General features: G+C 37.8%; 1 protein-coding gene and 1 long non-coding RNA gene across 50 annotated transcripts in view; one reads left to right on the forward strand and one right to left on the reverse strand.

Annotated features, from left to right (window-relative positions):
• The window catches only part of PPP1R9A-AS1 (PPP1R9A antisense RNA 1), a 178,641-nt gene extending 172,032 nt beyond the window's left edge, over nucleotides 1-6,609 (reverse strand). For all 4 annotated transcript variants that reach the window (NR_183323.1, NR_183324.1, NR_183325.1 and 1 more), the window contains exon 1: nucleotides 6,462-6,609. This is a non-coding gene — a long non-coding RNA (PPP1R9A antisense RNA 1). The remainder of the gene's footprint in view (nucleotides 1-6,461) is intronic.
• PPP1R9A (protein phosphatase 1 regulatory subunit 9A) overlaps nucleotides 1-25,450 on the forward strand; it is a 389,180-nt gene that overhangs the window by 300,488 nt on the left and 63,242 nt on the right. For 44 of the 46 annotated variants that reach the window (XM_047420574.1, XM_047420585.1, XM_047420580.1 and 41 more), the window contains one exon: nucleotides 18,238-18,393. In XM_047420574.1, the coding sequence (XP_047276530.1) occupies nucleotides 18,238-18,393 (156 nt within the window). Of the gene's footprint in view, nucleotides 1-18,237; nucleotides 18,394-25,450 lie in introns of those variants that run through there. The other 2 variants (XM_047420596.1, XM_047420600.1) reach the window with 1 other exon arrangement.

Genomic DNA, 25,450 nt, shown 5'->3' on the forward strand with positions numbered 1-25,450 from the left:
TCAAAAAGTACCTATAGATAAGTTATTAGAAATAATATAAAGTTATAGCAACTTTGCTGAATACATAATTAATGTAAAATAAAACATCTATTTCAATATGTCTGCAAACCAGGAGAAAACATAATTTATAAGTTACCATTTACAAGACTTCAAGACATAAATGATAGGGAAGAGCTTCATAGAGAAAAACAAAATTGTATTGAGATATACCAAAGAAAGTGTATAAAATAGGACAAAGAAACCTTGTTCATGGATTGGAAGATTCAGTAACTGTTGATTTGGTGCAATTCTAGTAAAAATAATTTCAAAAGATTTTTAAATGGAATTTGATAAGCTATTGCTAAAATATACATGAAAGGGCAATACATGAGAAATAACCATGGCATTTCACATGCTTTAAAATGGAAATAATTATTATTAAACTTTAATAAATTTATACTTTGGGGCAAAAGAATGGGCAAGTTGGTCAGGGAGCCCAGAAACAGCACTGTAGATATACAGAAACCTGATTTATGACATAGATTACACTCTAGAAGAGTTGAGAAATGTTTGGCTCTTCAATAAAGAGAATATAGTGAAGTTGAGCCCCCATATAATCCATACCCAAAATTCCATCTCAAGTGGACTGACTACGTAAATGTGAAAAGCAAAAATATAAAATTTGGAAGATAGCATAGAAGAATGCCTTTATGACCTCAGTTTTTAGCAATGTTTCTTACAGCTGGGTGTGGTGGCTTATGCCTGTAATCCCAGGACTTTGGGAGGCTGAGGCAGGTGGATCACGAGGTCAGGAGATTGAGACCATCCTGGCTAACACGGTGAAATCCCGTCTTTACTAAAAATGCAAAAAATTAGCCGGGCATGGTGGTGGGTGCCTGTAGTCCCAGCTACTTGGGAGGCTGAGGCAGGAGAATGGCATGAACCTGGGAGGCAGAGCTTGCAGTGAGCCGAGATCACACCACGGCACTCCATCCTGGGCCACAGAGCGAGACTCTGTCTCAAAAAAAAAATAAATAAATAAAAATAAATGTTTCCTAAATGAGCCACTAAGAAAACTGACTACATTAAAACTTAACTTCTGTTCATCGAAAGAATACTTTTAAGACAGTGAAAAGATAAACCATACGCTGGAGTAAAATGTTTAAAAAATACACACAATATTATTCCATTTATATAAAGCATAAAATCATGTCAAAATGACACATAGTTTGGATATAAAAATATAGCAAAACTAAAAAAAAAAAAAAAAAAAAAACTCTGATAAAATTCAGCAGAATTACTCCAGAAGAGTAAGCAACTGAAATGGAATCAAGGAGGCACACACAGAGGACTTCAATGAAAATGAGTGGTTCTGTTCCTTTTCCTTAAATAAGTTGTTAGTTTATTGGTGGTGGTTATATAATTATTCATTATGTTTTAAATTTATTTATTGAATAGGCTTTATGTCAACTCAGTATTTAATATAATTTAAAATCTGCTGTGTATAATGTACTTTGCAGTTATGTGATTATGTGGATATAAAATGAATATGACATAGTTCCTGCTCTCTGAGGACTTACAAAATGGCTTAAAACTCTGTGTCTTCAACTTGCTTCAGTATGAGAATATCATGGTACTTCTTTAAAAGTACAGATTTACCCACCCAGCCTCAGACCTACCAAATCTGAATATGGCTTGCAAGGGTGTCACCTGCGGGTGTTTGTGGGAAGCGGTTACATGCAATCAGTATTGGAGTGGTCCAGTGTAAAGATGCCAGGAATCTTGCAGTAAAGATCTTTGAGTCCTGGTATTGCAAGCACTTTGCAAGAAGGAATGGCTGCCACAAACCACAAGTCAGCCATGTGAGGAAAGGACTAGAATTATTCTCCCTAGAAGGAGATTGTAAGATTGAGACTATGTTTATCATTAATCTATGTAATACCATAATCCATGTAATACCACCAATGACATTTGTGTTGGTTTTACTTTTTTTTGTACTTTAAATTCTGTAACTGTAATTTCTGGTTCTATCTGATGATCTGATAGCATTTTTGCAATTACACGAATCAATTTTTATATAAACACCATATTTTTCAACATTCAATTACTTGTACAATTATAGAATTACTAAAATAATGATAACATGTCTCTTCAGTCACTCATAGCTGCCCTCTTCTATAGAGGAAAATTCAGGGAAATACAAATCTCTTAGTTTCTTCCCACAGTTCTACTGGCATCAGAATAAGTACTTCATTGTTCTCTTGGCAAGTAAAATGAAACTCAAGGAAGACTGCCAGTTTGAATTTGCAGTGTGACATTTGAATTATAGAGGTCCACTTTGGTCTGTCGACCGTTTAGTTCAGGATCTCAGTGGGAAAAAAGATCACTGGTTCCCTTCTCATATAGAATATATTTATCAGGGACTTAAATACAATAGCATTTCTCTCTTTATAAGTAGGTAAATGTATTAAATGGAATTGAATTAAGAATATTAAGACATGGTGAATATATTTTATGCTCACAAGCAGCTTATTTTGCTGTGGAAACAGTAAATATGTATGATAAAAAATTTAAATCCTTTTCAAGGCAACCTGTCAAAAGATCCAATAACGATAGTGTAAAAGAATCATCACAATTTTAAGGCATAAAAAATAAAAATTAATTTGATATTTCTGGTTTCTATTTTTATTTGAAAGGATATTTTTGTTGTTTTTGTTTATTTTCTGTAGCACAAGCAGCTGTGGCAATGAAGGGTGTGTTCAAAAAAATTTTTTTTTTTTTGAGACAGAGTCTTGCTCTGTCGCTCAGGCTGGAGTGCAGTGGCATGATCTCAGCTCACTGCAACCTCCGCCTCCCCGGTTCAAGCGATTCTCCTGCCTCAGCCTCCTCACTAGCTGGGACTACAGGCACATGCCACCATTTGACCCAGCAATCCAATTGCTGGGTATATACCCAAAGGATTATAAATCATTCTACTGTAAAGACACATGCACACGTATGTTTATTGCAGCACTATTCACAATAGCAAAGACTTGGAACCAACCCAAATGCCCACCAATGATAGACTGGATAAAGAAAATGTGGCACATATACACCATGCAGTACTATGCAGTCATAAAAAAGGATGAGTTAATGTCCTTTGCAAGGACATGGTTGAAGCTGGAAACCATCATTCTTAGCAAATTAACACAGGAACAGAAAACCAAACACCGCATGTTCTCACTCATAAGTGTGAGTGGATCAATGAGAACACACGGACACAGGGAGGAGAATATCACACACTGGGGCCCGTCAGAGGGTGGAGGGCTAGGGGAGGGATAGCATTAGGAGAAATACCTAATGTAGATGACCGGTTGATGGGTGCAGCAAACCACCATGGCACATGCATACCTATGTAACAAACCTGCATGTTCTGCACATGTATCCCAGAACTTAAAGTATAAAAAAAAAAAAACATTAAAAATAATAATAAAAAGAAATTGAATGTCTGACCCATGGACAGACAATACCTTTGGCCTGATACTCTCAGTTTGAGATGGGTCAACTTGAACTCATGACCAACAGGATTGGAAGGGTTCAACAAACATTGTTTGTCAAATAGAAATGACAGATTCCAGAAAGCTGCCAACCTGGCTACAAGTGGTAGCCTTCTGTTTGATTAAAACTTTGTCTCTCTGCCTCCTGAAACAGGGAGTTTGGCTTGATGATGTCTTCAATTCATAGGTTTTCTTTAAATCCCTGGTATTGGTTCACTGATAGTTCTGCCAAGTTGTTCAATGTTGTCTTCTGGTTTTTCAATCTCAGCACTAGTTATGCAGACACCAGAATGGACATGGCCACTCTGCTCAATAGGCAGCACTCAAGCCCATTTATATCACTGGCCAATACTCCCCTTGATGAAACATGTTATATTTTTACTAACTCTGGGTCTATTACGACTGACTTGTTGGGTCTGTCACTCCTAAAATTACAGACTGACATATAAAAGTTTGGGATAGATAGGGTTAGGAGTGGTGGCTCACACCTGGAATTTCAATACTTTGGGAGGTTGAGGTGGGAGAATAACTTGAGGCCAGGAGTTCAAGACCAGCCTGGACAACATAGCAAGACGTGTCTCTAAAAAAATAATTTTGTAAAAGCCCGGCATGGCATTGCTGCATGCCTATAGTCCCAACTGCATGGGAAGCTGAGGTGGGAAGATCACTTGAGCCCAGGAGTTTGAAGCTGCAGTGAGCTATGATTGTGCCATTACATTCCAGCCTGGGTGACAGAATGAGTCCCTGTCTCTAATCAATCAATTAAAAAAAAGTTTGGGATGGCAAACAGTGGAAGCAAATTGTGGCAACTGGTCACATTCTTTGAACTGCTTATGTAGCTGCACCTTAGAGGAATTTTTATATATTTAAATGTATTTAAAGAAAGGCTTTTAAAAATAGAATCAGAATCTGCAGTTTAATAGGATCTCCAGGTGATTCTTTTAAAAATATTTTTATTGATGCATAAGATATACATCATTTCAGGGTACATGTGACAATTTAATATATTCATTTAATTTGTAAAGATCAAATCCGTTTACTTGGGATATCCATCACCAAAGAAAGACCTTTGTAAGAAGTCTTTTCTTAAAAATAAAGAAAAAATGAAATCTTTTCTTTAGGATATTTTAAAGAATTTTAAAATATATATATGTATTTAAAGAAAGACCACCATTAGATCATGTAGCCTTCAGATGATTATAGAGATCCCTCCAAAATGAGGCTACTCTTAGTTACTAAAGGGAGCTTTCCTGAGGGATAACTAATTTATTATTTGTATGAGCCCTACAGGCAATTGTCCTTATGATTAAAGTCATTTAATCAGATAAGATCTTATGAAAATGGTTCCTGATTTTAGGTAATGTGGTTATTGGTACCACCTCAGTCCTGGAAGGCAGTCATGTCAGCCTCAACCTTTTGGCCAGGGTTTTTCTGGACAGTAGAATTGCTCTAACCCCTAGACTTCCTCCTTGTATGCCAAGGTTTGAGTCTATGTAATTATTGATCCTGCTGTACCTGGTTCAATACCTTAGGCCAAGTGGAAAGGTCAATACAGAAGCTTAAGGAGAAAGTCCTGGGTTTCTAAGGTATATCCTGATGGTTTATGGGATTTCTTTAACCAGTTGGGTCTGGGAGCCTAGAGAATATAGTTGTTATCAATGCCGAAAGTTAGACTAATTCTGCTGCTTGGAATCCTATTGATAGTAGTATTAATCATATGCTCTGAGATAGACTGAATGGCTTTGGTCCTAGCCACTCTTGGTTACATTGATCAGTGTGGCCAAGGGAATGCCATACTCGGAGAAAATTCACCTCAAGCCAAGACTGTGTAGAAATGAGGGTGGACGTTGTTTGGAGACAATTCCTCCATGGGTTCTCCCTTCTCTGCTTGTTTTTTGAGCAGCAGCAGCACCAGCAGCCTATGTTTCAGATTATCTTTCCAATGATGTTGGTATCATTGGGAGACAGTATGTCCCTTTAGGCAGTGACAGGTTTGTTTATCACTCATTATTCAAAAATTTGAATTTCCTAAGGGCAGAATTCTTAAGATTTTATTGGTTGTACTATCTTTCTTTCTCTTTCTTTTTTTTTTTTTTTTTGGAGACAGAGTTTTGCTCTGTTGCCTAGACTACAGCACATTGATGCAATCTTGGCTGACTGCAATCTCTGCCTTACGGGTTCAAGCGTTTCTCATGCCTCAGCCTCCCAAGTAGCTGGGATTACAGGCCAGTGCCACCATTCCCAGCTAATTTTGTATTTTGTTTTAGTAGAAACAAGGTTTCACCATGTTGGCCAGGCTGGTCTCAAACTCCTGACCTCAAGTGATCCACCCACCTCAGCCTTCCAAAGTGTTGGGATTACAGGTGTGAGCCTCCACGCCCAGCCTGGTTATACATTCTGCTTCATTTTTAAACCGCATTCTTCTGGCAGTTCCATGGATTTGAACTCTGTTTGGAAGCCATTTCTTAACTGTAGACTTAATTTTAAGACTTTGAAAACCATCAAGTTTCTGTTTAAACAGAAAGAATTCCTTTCTGTTTAATAGTACTCTCAGCTGAACTCTATTCTTTTTACATTTTACTACAAGCAGCAAGAAGAAATCAGGCTGCACCTTCACCACTGTGTTTAGAAGTCTACTTAGCCAGATCACCCTGTTCACAAGGAACACTTCCTACTTTCTCGTTAGAGAAGGTGATAATGTTGCTAAGCTTTGTGTCACTACATAATAAGCACGCTCCCTTCCAGTTTCCACTCACAATCTGTGCAGTGCAATTTAGTCTTGCTCCAATACACTCTTCAGAATCCTAGCCTTCGCCCACTGCCTGTTTCCAAGCCACTTCCCTGTTTTTTTCTGTATTTGTTTTGGCAGCATCCCTCTTCAATTTGCTGCATTACAAACTACCACCAAAACTTAGCAACTTAAAAGAAGAAATATTTGTACATTACCGTGTCTGTGGGTCAATTTAGCTGGATGCCTCTGACTCAGAATCTCTCCCAAGGCTGTAAGTGAGGTGTTAGCCAGAGCCGTGGTCATCCAAATGCTCCACTGGGAGAGGATCTGCGTCCATGCTCACTCACAGCTGTTGGCAGGACTGAGAAGACCCACTTCCAGGCTCCCTCATGTGACCTGGCAGGCCTCAGGTCCTCACTGGCTGTTGGCCAGAAACATCAGCTCCTTGGGATGTGGGCCTCTCCCTGCTCATAAGATGGCAACTTGCTTCCCAATAGTGAGGGCTGAGAGAGAGAGAGCAAGAGGACAAAAGAGGCACAAATCACAGTCTTTTTTTTTCAACTAATCTGAGAAGTGGCATTCCATTACTTTTGTTGTATTCTGGTTGTTGGAAATCTGTCATTCAGCCCTCACTCAGTGGGAAGGGATTATACAAGGGCATGAACACCCAGAAAGCAAGGTCATTGGGGTCATTTTGGAGTCTGCCTCCTATAGTAGGAAATAGAGTCCCAGCTTCTGGAGTATACTTTCTAAAAGGAAGGGGATAAAAACTAAAGAATGGATTTGAGTTGTCGGAAAATATTTTATTGGCAAATAATGATTTTTTTGGTCAAAATTTTAGGAAGAATAATTTTTCAGCAATATTACCAATGACCTGACAAGGTGAGAGCCTGAAGGTAAGGAACACAGACGCCATATGAGTAATCTAGAGAAGGATTTTAGATGTTTCTTGAGTGGGTGACTAGACAATGAGAATGGAGTGAAAAATCAGGAAATATTCTTTTTTTTTAATATATATAAACTTTAAGTTCTAGGGTACATGTGCACAATGTGCAGGTTTGTTACATATGTATACATGTGCCATGTTGGTATGCTGCACCCATTAACTCGTCATTTATATTGGGTATATCTCCTAATGCTTTCCCTCCCCCCTCCCCCCACCCACAACAGGCCCCGGTGTGTGATGTTCCCCTTCCTGTGTCCAAGTGTTCTCATTGTTCAATTCCCACCTATGAATGAGAACATGCGGTGTTTGTTTTTTTTGTTCTTGCAACAGTTTACTGAGAATGATGGTTTCCAGCTTCATCCATGTCCCAACAAAGGACATGAGCTCATCCTTTTTTATGGCTGCATAGTATTCCATGGTGTATATGTGCCACATTTTCTTAATCCACTCTATCATTGTTGGACATTTGGGTTGGTTCCAAGTCCTTGCTATTGTGAATAGTGCCACAATAAACATACGTGTGCATGTGTCTTTATAGCAGCATGATTTATAATCCTTTGGGTATATACCCAGTAATGGGATTGCTGGGTCAAATGGTATTTCTAGTTCTAGATCCTTGAGGAATCGCCACACTGTCTTCCACAATGGTTGAACTAGTTTACAGTCCCACCAACAGTGTAAAAGTGTTCCTATTTCTCCACATCCTCTCCAGCACCTTTTGTTTCCTGACTTTTTAATGATCGCCATTCTAACTGGCATGAGATGGTATCTCATTGTGGTTTTGATTTGCATTTCTCTGATGGCCAGTGATGATGAGCATTTTTTCATATGTCTGTTGGCTGCATAAATGTCTACTTTTGAGAAGTGTATGTTCATATCCTTCGCCCACTTTTTGATGGGGTTGTTTGTTTTTTTCTTGTAAATTTGTTTCAGTTCTTTGTAGATTCTGGATATTAGCCCTTTGTCAGATGAGTAGATTGCAAAAATTTTCTCCCATTCTGTAGGTTGCCTGTTCACTCTGATGGTAGTTTCTTTTGCTGTGAAGAAGCCCTTTAATTTAATTAGATCCCATTTGTCAATTTTGGCTTTTGTTGCCATTGCTTTTGGTGTATTAGACATGAAGTCCTTGCCCATGCCTATGTTCTGAATGGTATTGCCTAGGTTTTCCTCTAGGGTTTTTATGGTTTTAGGTCTAACATTTAAGTCTTTAATCCATCTTGAATGAATTTTTGTATAAGGTATAAGGAAGGGATCCAGTTTCAGCTTTCTACATATGGCTAGCCAGTTTTCCATTTATTAAATAGGGAATCCTTTCCCCATTGCTTGTTTTTGTCAGGTTTATCAAAGATCAGATGGTTGTAGATGTGTGGTATTATTTCTGAGGGCTCTGTTCTGTTCCATTGGTCTATATGTCTGTTTTGGCACCAGTACCATGCTGTTTTGGTTACTGTAGCCTTGTAGTATAGTTTGAAGTCAGGTAGCATGATGCCTCCAGCTTTCTTCTTTTGGCTTAGGATTGTCTTGGCAATGCAGGCTCTTTTTTGGTTCCGTATGAACTTTAGAGTAGTTTTTTCCAGTTCTGTGAAGAAAGTCATTGATAGCTTGATGGGGATGGCATTGAATCTATAAATTACCTTGGGCAGTATGGCCATTTTCACGATATTGATTCTACCTATCCATGAGCATGGAATGTTCTTCCATTTGTTTGTATCCTCTTTTATTTCGTTGAGCAGTGGTTTGTAGTTCTCCTTGGGGAGGTCCTTCACATCCCTTGTAAGTTGGGATTCCTAGGTATTTTATTCTCTTTGAACCAATTGTGAAAGGGAGTTCACTCATGATTTGGCTCTCTGTTTGTCTGTTATTGGTGTATAAGAATGCTTGTGATTTTTGCACATTGGTTTTGTATCCTGAGACTTTGCTGAAGTTGTTTATCAGCTTAAGGAGATTTTGGGCTGAGACGATGGGGTTTTCTAAATATACAATAATGTCATCTGCAAACAGGGACAATTTGACTTCCTCTTTTCCTCATTGAATACCCTTTATTTCTTTCTCCTGCCTGATTGCCCTGGCCAGAACTTCCAACACTATGTTGAATAGGAGTGGTGAGAGAGGGCATCCCTGTCTTGTGCCAGTTTTCAAAGGGAAGGCTTCCAGTTTTGGGCCATTCAGTATGATATTGGCTGTGGGTTTGTCATAAATAGCTCTTATTATTTTGAGATATGTCCCAACAATACCTAATTCATTGAGAGTTTTTAGCATGAAGCGCTGTTGAATTTTGTCAAAGGCCTTTTCTGCATCTATTGAGATAATCATGTGGTTTTTGTCTTTGGTTCTGTTTACATGCTGGATTACGTTTATTGATTTGCGTGTGAGGAACCAGCCTTGCATCCCAGTGATGAAGCCCACTTGATCATGGTGGATAAGCTTTTTGATGTGCTGCTGGATTTGGTTTGCCAATATTTTATTGAGGATATTCACATCAATGTTCATCAGGGATATTGGTCTAAAATTCTCTTTTTTTTTGTTGTGTCTCTGCCAGGCTTTGGCATCAGGATGATGCTGGCCTCATAAAATGAGTTAGGGAGGATTCCCTCTTTTTCTATTGATTGGAATAGTTTCAGAAGGAATGGTACCAGCTCCTCCTTGTACCTCTGGTAGAATTCAGCTGTGAATCCGTCTGGTCCTGGACTTTTTTTGGTTGGTAGGCTCTTAATTATTGCCTCAATTTCAGAGCCTGTTATTGGTATATTCAGAGATTCAACTTCTTCCTGGTTTAGTCTTAGGAGAGTGTATGTGTCTGGGAATTTATCCATTTCTTCTAGATTTTCTAGTTTATTTGCGTAGATGTGTTTATAGTATTCTGTGATGGTAGTTTGTATTTCTGTGGGATCAGTGGTGATATCCCCTTTATCATTTCTAATTGCATCTATTTGATTCTTCTCTCTTTTATTTGTTATTAGTCTTGCTATCAGTCTATCAATTTTGTTGATCTTTTCAAACAACCAGCTCCTGGATTCACGGATTTTTTGAAGGGTTTTTTGTGTCTCTATCTCCTTCAGTTCCACTCTGATCTTAGTGATTTCTTGTCTTCTGCTAGCTTTTGAATGTGTTTGCTCTTGCTTCTCTAGTTCTTTTAATTGTGATGTTAGGGTGTCAATTTTCTATCTTTCCTGCTTTCTCTTGTGGGCATTTAGTGCTATAAATTTCCTTCTACACACTGCAAATGTGTCCCAGAGATTCTGGTATGTAGTGTCTTTGTTCTCATTGGTTTCAAAGAACATCATTATTTCTGCCTTCACTTCCTTACGTACCCAGTAGTCATTCAGGAGCAGCTTGTTCAGTTTCCATGTAGTTGAGCGATTTTGAGTGAGTTTCTTAATCCTGAGTGCTAGTTTGATTGCAGTGTGGTCTGAGAGACAGTTTGTTATAATTTCTGTTCTTTTCCATTTGCTCAGGAGGGCTTTACTTCCAACTATGTGGTCAATTTTGGAATAAGTGCGATGTGGTGCTGAGAAGAATGTATATTCTGTTGATTTGGGGTGGAGAGTTCTGTAGATGTCTATTAGGTTCTCTTGGTGCAGAGCTGAGTTCAATTCCTGGATATCCTTGTTAACTTTCTGTCTCGTTGATCTGTCTAATGTTGACAGTGGGGTGTTAAAGTCTCCCATTATTATTGTGTGGGAGTCTAAGTCTCTTTGTAGATCTCTAAGGACTTGCTTTATGAATCTGGGTGCTCCTGTATTGGGTGCATATATATTTAGGATAGTTAGCTCTTCTTGTTGAATTGATCCCTTTACCATTATGTAATGGCCTTCTTTGTCTCTTTTGATCTTTGCTGGTTTAAAGTCTGTTTTATCAGAGACTAGGATTGCAACCCCTGCCTTTTTTTGTTTTCCTTTTGCTTAGTGGATCTTCCTCCATCCCTTTGTTTTGAGCCTATGTGTGTCTCTGCACATGAGATGGGTTTCCTGAATACAGCACACTGATGGGTCTTGACTCTTTATCCAATTTGCCAGTCTGTGTCTTTTAATTGGAGCATTTAGCCCATTTACATTTAAGGTTAATATTGTTATGTGTGAATTTGATCCTGTCATTATGATGTTAGCTGGTTATTTTGCTCGTTAGTTGATGCAGTTTCTTCTTAGCCTCGATGGTCTTTACAATTTGTCATGCTTTTGCAGTGGGTGGTACTGGTTGTTCCTTTCCATGTTTAATGCTTCCTTCAGGAGCTCTTGTAGGGCAGGTCTGGTGGTGACAGAATCTCTCAGCATTTGCTTGTCTGTAAAGGATTTTATTTCTCCTTCACTTATGAAGCTTAGTTTGGCTGGATATGAAATTCTGGGTTTAAAATTCTTTTCTTTAAGAATGCTGAATATTGGCCCCCACTCTCTTCTGGCTTGTAGAGTTTCTGCTGAGAGATCCGCTGTTAGTCTGGTGGGTTGCCCTTTGTGGGTAACCCGATGTTTCTCTCTGGCTGCCCTTAACATTTTTTCCTTCATTTCAACTTTGGTGAATTTGACAATTATGTGTCTTGGAGTTGCTCTTCTCAAGGAGTATCTTTGTGGCGTTCTCTGTATTTCCTGAATTTGAATGTTGGCCTGCCTTGCTAGATTGGGGAAGTTTTCCTGGATAATATCCTACAGAGTGTTTTCCAACTTGGTTCCATTCTCCCTGTCACTTTCAGATAAAATCAGGAAATATTCTGATAACAAAAGATTGAAAAGAAAATTTTGAATGAGTTGATAAGTGGGAGAAAAAAATAAATATATATGCTGGGCCAGGCATCATTTTGGATATTTTGCATATTTCATTTCTTCGAATCCTCTCAATATCCTATGAGATTGGTATCTTTTACACCATTTTATAGAAGAGACCACAAAAGATACAAACTAAATGACTTACTTACTGTTATGCAACTGGGACATTAGGATTTTTCTCTCTTCTGGCCCTCATCTCTCCAACCCCAAATGCTTTTTTTGTTGCATTAGTTTATGGTGTTGTCCTGGAGAAATAAGGGATGGTGAAAACAATCATAATCATAACGTCATGCAGTCAGTTAGCATATTCTAGGCACTGTGGTTAACTCTTTCATATCACTACAATGAATTCTCATAGCAACCTCTTTAAATGAAGAAGGTGCTGTTATTTCCATTTTATAGATGAGGAAACAACATTCAAAGAGACTAAGTGTACTAACATTATAAAATTAGGACACACAGGAGTCACTGACAAAAAAATGGAAAGAGAGATGCTTCGGCAGAGAGAGGGATGTTTTTGCCGAAAGGCCTCTGGATGGTTGGTGCAGATTTAGGAATTTTAAACATTAAAATGTGAGTTTGACGTTTTCCTCCTCCAGGGAAGAAGCAGCTCTCCTTTATTCTCTCACAGAAGTGCGTCTGAAAATACATAGCACCAAATTCAAATCCGGTAAACAAATTCCATCAAAAACTGCATAATTAAGGCTATTTTTGTGATTAGCGCCATTTAGTTTCCCTGAATTTACCAGAGCAAACATTGCTACAGCAAAAATTACTGCTAATGGTTGAACCTAACAACAAGAGAAAATCCCCAGAAGGGTCATTTAGGCCCCAGCTGCAGCTGTGTTTCACTATATTTCATCCTGGAAAGCTGAGATTAACAGGAAAATCAGGCTCTACTGTGCTATGCAGATGTGGCTACAACTATCTGAATTTATTCAGCAAACATTTGTTCAGTGCCCACTATATGCCAAGCAATGTACTAGCCACACCGGGATTGCAGGGATAAATTGTACCTGGCACTCTCTAGGAATGTTCAGATGAAAGAAGTTGATGAGAGAAGGCAGATATAGAAACATCAAAGCATTATGAGTGATGTCAGCTATACAGTGGGAGCATAAAGGAGTGAATTAGGAGAGTCTTAAGGGCAGCAGCTTCACAGGATGTTCTCATGTACACGGTTATTCATCTTGAATCCTTGGGGCAGGTTGGGGCCAGTAAATGAGGAGGACAGAGGCATGGAAGTTTTCTTGGGCTTGGGTAGAAGCTGGTGCCTACCCCAAACTGGGAATATAAGTAGAGGAACAGGTATATATAGAGGAAAGGAAAAGTTTTACTTCAGAAATGACCAATTTGCTTATAAAAGATTCATGTGTTGAGGTCTTCTAGGAACTTACATTTATGAGACCAAAGTTTAGCAAATGTGGTTACAAGATACAGATGAGAAAATCGTTAGCATTTTGCTATTGCAGTATTTTGACACCAGCAGCAGCAACAATAGCGGTCACTCGTTTTGAGCACCTACCATGTGCCAGACCTTGTGTTAAATACATAGGCACCATCTAACTTAATCTTATGACAGCTTTCTTATGCTAAGGAACTGTTTTGTCCTTACTTTATAGATGAAAAGATTAAAGCTTAGATATAGACGCTAATTCCCAATGTCTCAGGACCAGGACTTGAACACAGTTCTACGTGACTTCAAAACCAAAATCCTTTCATTGATCCCCACTTAACCAACTCCCCAATATAACAGATACTCTCTGTTCCTTCTGCAAAACCTAGACTGATATCTATAGCTCTCATGAGTGTCCCAGGCTCTAGTATGTCTACATACGTCTCCCACTAGTCAAAAGTTATATGTTTACCAAGAGACACAACCTGTTGGTTGTACTTGTTACTATAATTATGTTATTTTATAAAATATTAAGTGATGTAATATGTGTGTAAATGAAGTTGTTGTATCTATGAAAACTAAATACAGTGCTTTGGGAAGATTTAATAAAGACTGGCAGCTCAAGAAAATTAGGTATGAGAAGGAAATATAAAAGAGGGGAAAACCATAAAATTCTATAGAAATTTTGCATTCATTTTGCCTTGGAAGGATCTTTTTCATCTGTTTTAAAGATGCTACAGTAATTTCATACACTATATGTTATGGTTGTAGTTTATACAAGAGTGCATAAAATGTCAGTCAGCAGACCCATAAGCCAAGAGGAAGACTTGGCCCTGCAATTAAAAGATGAGCAAATAAATGAATACTTCTGTGATTTAAGTTAACATAAAATGGTATGCATATGTGTGTGTGTTCGTTTGTTTGTCAGCGATTCCTCTCTGTATTGCAATTAACCCACAAGTACTGCTCCCGATTCTTTCAAAGGGGAATTCTATATTCTTGTCCAGGGTAAGCATATTATGAGAGAAGAGAAGAGGACAAGAACTTTGGAGCCCACTATACAGAGGTGCAAGTCTTCAAAGTGAATTCAGTGATAATGTTTAAAGCCGTGGAAGGTGAATTTCAATACAACAGGATTATCCACCCAGGTTTGGGGATGGGATCATTAAAAAATATATTCCCAATTTTTTTTTCTGCAGAACTTTAGTTTCTGTAGACTGGAAGCATCATAGCATAAAAGAAGGAGCATGGGCTTTAAAATATGTTGAATGCAGCTTCAACAACTTAATTAATTGACCTTAGGTATGGTCTCTGAGTCTCAGTTTCCTCAAATTAAGATAGTATGGTAACACCCATATCCCATAGTTGTTGAGGAATGTCCAATGCTGGGCACACAGTAAGTTGCAAAAGTATTGCTCTTCATTTTTTACCCCTTTGTGTGGGGCTACTAAAAATATCATATATTAATCAGAAAGGTAGGTAAAGACATGAAAGGGAAAATTTACTATCTCTGTCAGTTTTTTACCCAAAAAACTGTTACTGCCACATTTGAAGTGGATTTGCGTGTTAGGACAAAGAATTTCAAGAGTCTCTGGTTACTTGAAAGATTTTTAATTTGAACAGAAATAGAGCTAGATACCAATGGAAATACTTTGTTATAGTAATTTTGGGTTTTGTTGGTTTTGGGTTTTTTTGGTACAACATTGTTCATCTTCCTTTGTAAATGGCAGATTTAATCCAATCTAATTTTGCGGTTTACAACATTCTGCTGACACATTCCATGTTACTTATTTTATTTGCAGTGTAACCACAAAAATAATTTCCATTTTCAATAAAGATAAAATATTAGAAGAACCTATTTTTCTTAGTCCACTAAGTGTAACTTTTTTATTTCCAGGTATTTATGAGATTCTGTAGTAAATGTATCATCCTAAAGCCTATTTAAGGTTGGAATGGCAAATGATCAGCAAGAGAGAGTTATAACATAATGTTTTAAACATGCCATCCTTAGCCTATAATAAGTAATAAGTAGAATCAAGACAGCAAAAGACATATTTGTCCTCAGGATGCTTATAAGGCTAATTGGAGAAAGAAGGCATTAGTAAATGAAAAGATGAAATGAGTGATAAGAATTTTAACAGTACTGCAGGTAATTTGGGTATTGGGAAGGAGAGGATACTGGCAAAGTCCACAAAAGAATCAAGAAGAACGCTTAACAACGTATGTTTATTAAGATAATTTTCATAATGAAAGTGTATATGGATGACAAAGTGCAGCTAAAAGGTAAGAATTGCATATGTTATGCATACCCTAATCCTGTTATTCACAGTAAGGTTGTTAGTATAATATACTACTGCCTTCTTAACAAGTGACCACAGTTCATTTTCTTGATATTGAAAATCTCCTTAGGAAGTTCTGTCTATTACCAAGTTAATGCGTTGGCATTCTTGGATTTATTCTTTTAAAAATATTTGCTGAGATCCTGTTATATGTCAGGTCCCATCCTAGGCACATATTTATATTAATTCTCTCACATGTAGTGAACAAGTATTTATTTTCAAGCTAGCAAAAGGAAATCAAATTGTTCATTTCAACTCATGTTTAAAACGTGCCACATTGTTAGGGCTTAGTCATACTTTAAATTTAGCATAAGAGTTTCTTGAGTCATTCAATGCTGTATATAGTGAGTTCTATATACCTGGTTTAAGCCTTCATAATAAAGGCTTGGGTTTTGCTGCCATTTGTAATGATAGGGTTAAAAACAAGTACACAGTTTTATACCTCTATATGAAAATTTTTCAGCAAGGTATCTTGAGATTATTTACTTGCCAGTCTTGCTGCATTCCTATTAATTAACTTCACTGGAATTTACCAAGTATTTGTTGGTTCTAGAAATGGGTATGAACAGGAGATGAATTGATTCAAGAATACAAAAGAAAAAAAAAAGCCAAATCTGGAATTAGAGTTTTTTAAGATTTGTAGGATCTCATTGTGCTAATAAATAAGTACAAGCTATCTGACCAACCAGCTCCCATTCTTCAGCTACCTTCACCTGCCAGTGGCAAAGACACTTGAATTGGTATTTATAGTTTAGACATTTTCAGACTGATTTCTACAGAGATCTAGAGTTCCAGGTACTCAGGAGATACATAGGATCCAACTGGAGGCCACCAACCTCTTTTCCTTTCAGTCAAATCACCTGTGATTATATTTGGGGAAAGTAAAGGTTCCAACTAACCTGTAACCAGTTTGGAAAATCATTGCTCCACATGGAATATTCTGAGCTTACTTCTGTACACAGATGCCACCAATGTCAAGTTCTCCATGATAATAGCCTCTGTGTGGGGAGGTAGAGTGTGAAGGATGCTGTGGCAGTGTGTTCATCATGGTTGATGACCTTCAAATTCCTTACTAGAAACTGTGTCTACTTTCAGGCTCTGCAATTTAGAGAAATGTGGAAAAGTTGGAGAGAAATCAGAGCACAACCACAAAGACAATTACAGCAAATTACCTTGGAGGCAACTAGAATTATTTTATTTGAAAAAGAGAAATCTGAAGGCAATTTAATAATGGTCTTTCAGACATTGGGAATTATTAGATTGGGATTAAGGACCAGATTTCCTTCACGTGCAAACATAGGTGGGGGGAAAGGGGAAGTGAGGGGCTCCTGCTTTGGCAGGAAGAATATAATACAGAATCAAAAGAAAAAAAAACAGCAATCAGATGCTGAGCCTATTTACTCAAAGGAATAGATCATTCAGTACACCGTTCATGGAAGTTTTTTAAAGGCAATATGAATTCCTGTCTCTGTTTTATGTGTTAGATAACGTGCTACCTGAAGGAACAGGGATGAGTTCAATGAACTTTGTTTTTTTAACCCTGTCAGTGATTTATCTTTAAATTATATCATAAGGTATAGATTTCAAACAATTATTTTGAATTACAGTATCATAGCTTGATGCTGCCAGGAGAGGATCTACTTTCTAATAAAGTTAAGGAAGTTAGTGGCAAAGAGGAATGTTTATTCCAGGGGTCAGGAACTCAGATACCTACAGGGACAGGTGGGTATTACAAAGGAGTGAAGCTAACAATATAGAACTATATGACATTAGAAAAATTGTGGGGTATTAGAAAGCATATAACTCTTCTAAAAGGGGCAACCACTACTAACTGGCCAATTGTTATCATGTCCCAATATGCCTAATATTAACGGATGCTTGGCTTTCTCAAGGAAAGCTGGAAATCTAGAACTTTATGTGAAACATTTTTCTCACATTGACAGAATACTCAGATTTGTAAATGTGCTAGGCAGGCAAAACAATACACTTGGTGCAGGCTGCAAGTTAGAAACCTTTGGTTTATTCTTTAGCTCACTAGTTCACCACAATAATTAACAAGCAAACAAAACAGAACTGTTTGAACTCTAACGCTTAGGAGAATTAATCAGCTAAACCTTTGCAAGGCTTAATTAAGGTCCCTTCCAACTCTGTGATTCATTAAACTCCCCTTCCCTTTTCATTGCTCTCAGTATTGGGTGGCGTATTCACAAAGAGAATTTAAAGAAATGACTTATTTCCCTCAGCAACATAATTTTATTTGGTAAAATAATCAAATACTCAGAAAAAACAACTCTTGTTTCTGTATTAAAGATGCCACTGATACTAGTAGATTTTTAGAAACGCACTTGTATATGGCATAGGTTTGTCACTTTGGATCTTTAAACTAACATTTGTTTATAACATTGGCTGCATGAGGCATGCTTGGCTGAAAAACCTACTTACACTTTTACCATTTGGGTACATGTCTTACTTGTCTTTTATAAAATATTTTCAAATAACTCACCTCCACCTGGGGTAAGGACAGCTGGATTTCTGAAATCCCCTTCCTTTCAGACAGGAGAATATGCCACAGATGAAGAAGAAGATGAGGTAGGACCTGTCCTTCCTGGCAGCGACATGGCCATTGAAGTCTTTGAGCTGCCTGAGAATGAGGACATGTTTTCCCCATCAGAACTGGACACAAGCAAGCTCAGTCACAAGTTCAAAGAGGTATGCCACTAAGCTGCAAAATATTTCTTTATGCCTGTCCATTTCATTAAGTATATATTTCTGTTCAAATAATATATTAAGAATAATCAGTTTGCAAATCAAAGCTTTTTAATAACAGGTTGTCTTGAGTCTCATTGAATTTCAAGTAGAATTTAAGTAGATCTCGTTCCACGGTCATTGATTTAAACGCTTATTTGTCATAGTGACATACCTGTAGCCCATAATTTCAAGCAGTAACTTAAATGTGCAGTTTTATGATGTTTAAGTTATATTTTTTCAGTTTTACAGAAGTTTTGGTAACTAGTGATAAGCTTTTCTCTCAAGGCAGAGACTTCCTAAAAAGTCTCTTTTTGTCTTTCTGTTCATGAAATAGGTTTCTAATAAGCATCAGATGGCATACCCAAAGGGTTTACTTGAAGAGAGTTTAATACACAGACTTTGAACAGAGTTAATAGTACTAACAAGGGGTGGTGAAGTGCACAGGGACTGGCAACAGCAGGAGGCTGTTACCATCAACATCTGCAGCTTTATAAGATGCACAGCCACTGGTAAAAGCTGCATCCTTGGGGCAAGGGTAAGAATACACCCTGACTCTGCTTTCCTTTTCTGCTGATGCTTCCAAACCCAGGCAAGGGAGTATGGTGATGCAGTCTCAGAGTTTGAAGAGATCAGACTCCTGAGGCAATGTGCTCTCAGAGAAGGGCCAAGAATAGAACCTTGGGAGAGGAAATGTGGATAACTCTTCCAAAGTAGCTTCTCAGAACCATGACACATGTAAAACAGAAACAGTGATTAATAGGTCCCAAAGCAGTTTATCTATCCTTCATTGTTTTGGAAGAGTATCCTCCATCATTGAAGAGAAATGTGTCATTATTTACAACTTGTTCATTTCTTCTAAAGACTTTCTAAATTAACTGATATCTTCAAACCAAAGAGCAATGCAGAAAAAGAAAAGGTCTGCAGAAAGTGGCTGAGTGGGAGAAAGAGGTGTAATCTAGTTACCTGTTTCTCTGCAGCCCTTATTTGGCCAAAGAATATAAGTTATCAAGAAAAGTAGGTAGATGACTTGTTCTCTAAGAATATTTTAACTCACAACCCAACTTTAACAAATATTGAAGGCAGTGAGATCAAAATAGTATTCCCTGGCGAAAGCCTATAATACAGCTCTTTCATTTTACCAGTTGAGTATGACCCCTAGTCTTTGGTAGATAATTGAGCTGGAAGAAGGGTCCACATTCTTTTATGGGAGGTGAAGAGCCTACAGGGCACAGATAATATATGGAAAGTTATATCTTCCATTTTCAAAATTGAGCTAAGGACTCAAAGTTCCATAAATATTGTTTTAAGCATGCACCATTGTGTAGAGTGATCTAGACCAGGGGTTAGCAAATTATGATACATTGTCCAAATCTGGGCTACTTTTTATAAATAAAGTTTTATTTGAACACAAGCATGCCCATCTCTTTATTGTTTGTGGCTGATAACATACTACAACAGCAAAGTTGAGTAGTTGCAATAGAGACTGTATGGCCTGCAAATCCTAAATTATTTGCTTTCTGGCCCTTTACTGAAAAATGTTACTGACCCTGGTGTAGACTGCTGTGTGATCTCGATTCATTCTGTGTAATGTGGCTGATTTATTTTTAGCTTGAGTAACCAGATCTGTAACTTTATTTTAGTTTTGGTTTCTAAGAATTGGAATTTCATCCTCACCTCAATAACAGGCAATATCACATCGTTCCACTTAACAATTCTTTTATCCTCTTTTGTTTTACATTTAACATTAATATATTCATTTCTTCAGAATATTGCCCCTGTGTATCACCTGTGTGGCACTCTTTTGTGACATTTGTATCTTGTACACTGTCACTATCATAGTCTTAAATTTCTTTATGTGATTAATATACATGTCCAAATATTATATAGCACTGGGCACTTTTCACAGGATCATCCACAAAACTTGGGGTGAGTGTGAAGGATCATATTGTATTAGAGTCTTTACAAAGTTTCATGTTACAGGATTGTCTTAATTATTTTAAGCAAAAGTATGTGTTTTACTACTCGGGCAAAATACATTAGACTGACATTATCTCAATCAGTCATACTTTGGGCCTGTTTTGTATCTATCTTCCTGCTAAACTCAAAGCTCGCATGTTTTTGCTTATTATCATGTCCTCAGTCTTTGTACAATTCTTGGCATATAGTTAGTGGTGAAATATTTATGGAATGAATGGTGTCAAACATATACTGGAATTTGTTGTATGATATAAGACATGTACCCAATTTAATGTTTCCAAATAGCCAACAAAAGTTGGCTAGCCCTTTTATTAAATGCTCCTTTACCAATTTCCCTTTGGTGGGAGGGCCAACATTATTATCTAAAGAATTTGTGCCTTTACCTTCTGAACTGCTTATGGCTTCATAGTCTGCTCCATCTTCTCATTTTTCTTCAGTGCAATACTATTAGAATATACGTCAATATTGATGAGCTAAGTCGCATCATTCCAACTTTTCAAAAATGCCTTTATTTTTCAACTTATTCAAGAAAATATTTGAATCACTTTATAAATACCCTTGAAAAATACGCTGCATTTTTTGTTGTAATTATGTTAAACTAGTAAATTTCTAGAGAACTGGCATTTTAAAAATCACATCGAATCTTTTAATCCAAGTTCATGGAATATATTTGTTTAATTCAAGCCTTTTTTCTCATCCTCCCTAAAATTTTATCGTGCCCTTTATTCATTATATAAGTCACATACATACATAAGTTACCTAAGTATCGAGCTATAAGTAACAGGACATATTACTGGAGTGGGTTAAATAAAAGCTGCCACATGGCCAGTCATGCTGGCTCACATCTATAATCTTAGTTCTTTGGGAGGCTGAGGTGGGAAAATGGCTTGAGCTCAGGAGTTCAAAGTTACAATGAGCAATGAAGGTTGCCACAGCACTCCAGCCTGAGTGACAGAACCACACAAGACCCCATCTCAAATAAACAAAAACTGGGAGGATTAAGATGGCAGGTAGGAGGGAGAACTGCTGCAGCTTCTGCTTGGTTGGACAGAACAGCATGTGGAGACTCACATTGTGAACTTTTGCCCCAAGAACTACCACAGGAAAATACCAGGAAAGCCAAGAGAATCCACAGACCTTTTGAAGGAACTGGATCACCGCTGCAGGCTCCCTAAAATGCCAAAAAAGTGTGAGTCTGCTTGCTTTCTCAACAGGGAAGCTCGTGATTTAGGGTGAGTTCTCAGCCCTGGTCATAAGCTGCCTGGAAATAGACTTGGTGCTGTTGTGGAGGGCACGGTGGGAGTGAGACTGGCCTTTAGGACTCTGGGCTGCGTGGGAGCAGAGTGAGGCCTATGACTTCCGGCTTTCCCCCACTTCCCTGGTGGCGTATATGACTCATCAGAGGCAGCCATAATCCCCCTGGGAATATAACTCCATTGGACTGGGAACCACAACCTCCTCCCCCACAGCAGCCATAGCAAGCCCCACCAAAGGAGAGACTGAGCTAAGACACTCCTGTCCCTCCCCCAACCTGGTGGTCTTACTCTACCCACCCTGGTAGCTGAAGACAAAGGTTATAATCTCTTGGGAGCTCTGTGGCCCTGCTGACTGCCTGAGAAACCTGAATACTTGACCAGGTGTTCCTAGGGCAAATTTGCATCCTCCCTATAGGACCCCAGCTCATGTGCTCTTGAAAGTGCCAACTCCTGGCTGGAATCCAACCAATACAAGACCAGCACACTCAATAAAAATACAACCAAGGACCCTGCAGAGTCCACTTCACTCCCTTGCTACCTCCATCAAAGCAGGTGCTGGTATCCATGGCTACAAGACCTGAAGATGAATCACATCACAGTACTCTTTGCAGATACTCCCAAGTACCAGTGCAGAGCCTGGTAGCTCCACTGGGTGCTAGATCCAGAAAAGCAAAAATAATCACTACATTTCAGCTCTCAGGAAACCCCATTCCTAGGGTAAGGGAGAGAACACCAAATCAAGGCAGCACACTGTGGGACAAAAGAATCTGAACAGTAGCCCTTGAATCCCAGATCTTCCCTCTGATGTAGTCTATCCAAATGAGAAGGAATCAGAAAAACAATTCTGGTATATGACAAAACAAGGTTCTTTAACACCCCCAAAAGATCATACCAGTTAGCCAGCAATGGATCCAAACCAAGATGAAATCTCTGAATTGCCAGAAAAATATTTTAGAAGGTCAATTATTAAGCTAATCAAGGAGGCACCAGAGGAAGGTGAAGTCCAACTTAAAGACATCAAAAACATAATACAAGAAATGAAAAAAGTTTTTCAGTGAAATAGATAGCATAAATAAAAAAACAGTCACAACTTCTGGAAATCAAGGACACACACAAATGCAAAATGCACTGGAAGGTCTCAGCAGTAGAATCAAACAAGCAGAAGAAAGAACTTGAAGACAAGGCTTTCAAATTAACCCAGTCCACCAAAGACAAATAAAAAAGAATTTTAAAAAATGAGTAAAGCCTCCAAGAAGTTTGGGACTATGTTAAATGTCCAAACTAAAAATAATTAGTGTTCCTGAGGAAGGAGAGAAATCTAAAAGTTTGGAAAACGGATATTTGAGGGAATAATTGAGGAAAACCTCCCCAAAACAAAGAGAAACAAATCCTCGAAATACACCAAAATAGAACCTTCTTCAAGCATAAATCTCACAGGACCTTTATAACAATAGCACAATAGAAAAAAAGGTATTCAAGCAATAAATAGCACAATGAGTAGAATAGTACCTCACATGTCAATACTAACATTGAATGTAAATGGCCTAAATACTCCACCTAAAAGATACAGAATGGCAGAATGGATAAGAATTCACCAATCAAGTTTCTGCTGTCTTCAGGAAACTCACCTAACACGTAAGGACTCACATAAACTTAAGGTAAAGGGGTGGAAAAAGATACCGTATGCAAATGGACACCAAAAGCAAGTAGGAGTAGCTATTCTTAGACAAAACAAACTAAAGCAACAGCAGTTAAAAAAAGACAAAGAGAGAAATTATATAATGATAAAAGGACTAGTCCAACAAGAAAATATTACAATTCTAACTATATTTGCAGCTAACACTGGAGCTCCGAAATTTATTACTGTTAGACCTAAGAAATGAGATAGATGGCAACACAATAATAGTGGGGGACTTTCATACTCTACTGTCAGCACTAGACAGGTGGGTCATCAAGACAGAAAGTCAACAAAGAAACAATAGGCTTAAACTATACCCTACAACAAATGGACTTCACAGATATTTGTGGAACATTCTACCCAACAATTGCAGAATATACATTCTATTCATCGGCACATGGAACTTCTCCAAGATAGACCTTATGATAGGCCACAAAACAAGTCTCAGTAAATTTAAGAAAATTGAAATTATCTCAAGTTCTCTAAGACCACAGTGAAATAAAATTGGAAATCAACTCTGAAAGGCACCCTCAAAACAATGCAAATACATGGTAATTAAATAACCCTGCTCCTGAATGATTGTTGGGTCAACAATCAAGATGGAAATTTAAAAGTTATTCGAACTATATGATAATAGTGACACAACCTGTCAAAACCTCTGGGATACAGCAAAAGCGGTGCTAAGAGGAAAGTTTATAGCATTAAATAACTACATCAAAAAGTCTGAAAGGGCTCAAACTGACAATCTAAGGTCCCACTTCACAGAACTGAAGAAACAAGAACAATCCAAACCCAAACCCAGCAGAAGAAAAGAAATAATGAAGATCAGAGCAAAACTAAATCAAATTGAAACAAACAAATGCAAAAGATAAATGAAATAAAAAGCTGGTTCTTTGAAAAGATAAATAAAATTGATAGATCTCTAGCGAGATTAACCAAGAAAAGAAGAGAGAAGATCCAGATAAGCTCAGTTACAAATGAAACGGGAGATACTACAGCTGATACCACAGAAATAGAAAAGATCATTCAAGGCTACTATGAAAACCTTTACACGCATAAACTAGAAAATCTAGAGGAGATGTTTAAATTCCTGGAAATATACAATCACCCTAGATTAAACCAGGAAGATATAAAAATCTCTGAACAGACCAATAGCAGGCAGAGAGATTGAAATGGTAATTAAAAAAAATTGCCAACAATGAGGAAAGGATTCCCTGTTTAATAAATAGTGTTAGGAAAACTGGCTAGCCATATGCAGAAAACTGAAACTGGACCCCTTCCTTACACCTTATACAAAAATTATTTCAAGATGGATTAAAGACTTAAACGTAACATCTAAAACCATAAAAACCCTAGAAGAAAACCTAGGCAATACCATTCAGGACACAAGCATAGGCAAAGACTTCATGACTAAAACACAAAAAGCAATAGCAACAAAAGCCAAAGTTGACAAATGGGATCTAACTAATCTAAAGAGCTTCTGCATAGCAAAAGAAACTATTATCAGAGTGAACAGGCAACCTACAGAATGGGAGAAAATTTTTGCAATCTATCCATCTGACAAAGGGCTAATATCCAGAATCTACAAGGAACTTAAACAAATTTACAAGAAAAAAACAACCCCATCAAAAAGTGGGCTAAGGATATGAACAGACACTTTTCAAAACAAGAAATTTATGTGGCCAACAAACATATGAAAAAAAGCTTATCATCACTGGTCATTGGAGAAATGTGAATCAAAACGACAATGAGATACCATCTCATACCAGTTAGAATGACAATCATTAAAAAGTCAGGAAACAACAGATGCTGGAGAGGATATGGAGAAATAGGAATGCTTTTACACTGTTGGTGGGAGTGTAAATTAGTTCGACCATTGTGGAAGACAGTGTGGTGATTCCTCAGGGGTCTAGAACTAGAAATACCATTTGACCCAGCAATCCCATTACTGGGTATATACCCAAAGGATTATAAATCATTCTACTATAAAGACACATGCACACCTATGTTTATTGCAGCACTATTCACAATAGCAAAGACTTGGAACCAACCCAAATGCCCATCATTGATAGACTGGATAAAGAAAATGTGGCACATATACACCATG

This window comes from Homo sapiens, chromosome 7 (genome assembly GCF_000001405.40).
Source record: "Homo sapiens chromosome 7, GRCh38.p14 Primary Assembly".
NCBI classification, from domain to species: Eukaryota; Metazoa; Chordata; class Mammalia; order Primates; family Hominidae; genus Homo; species Homo sapiens.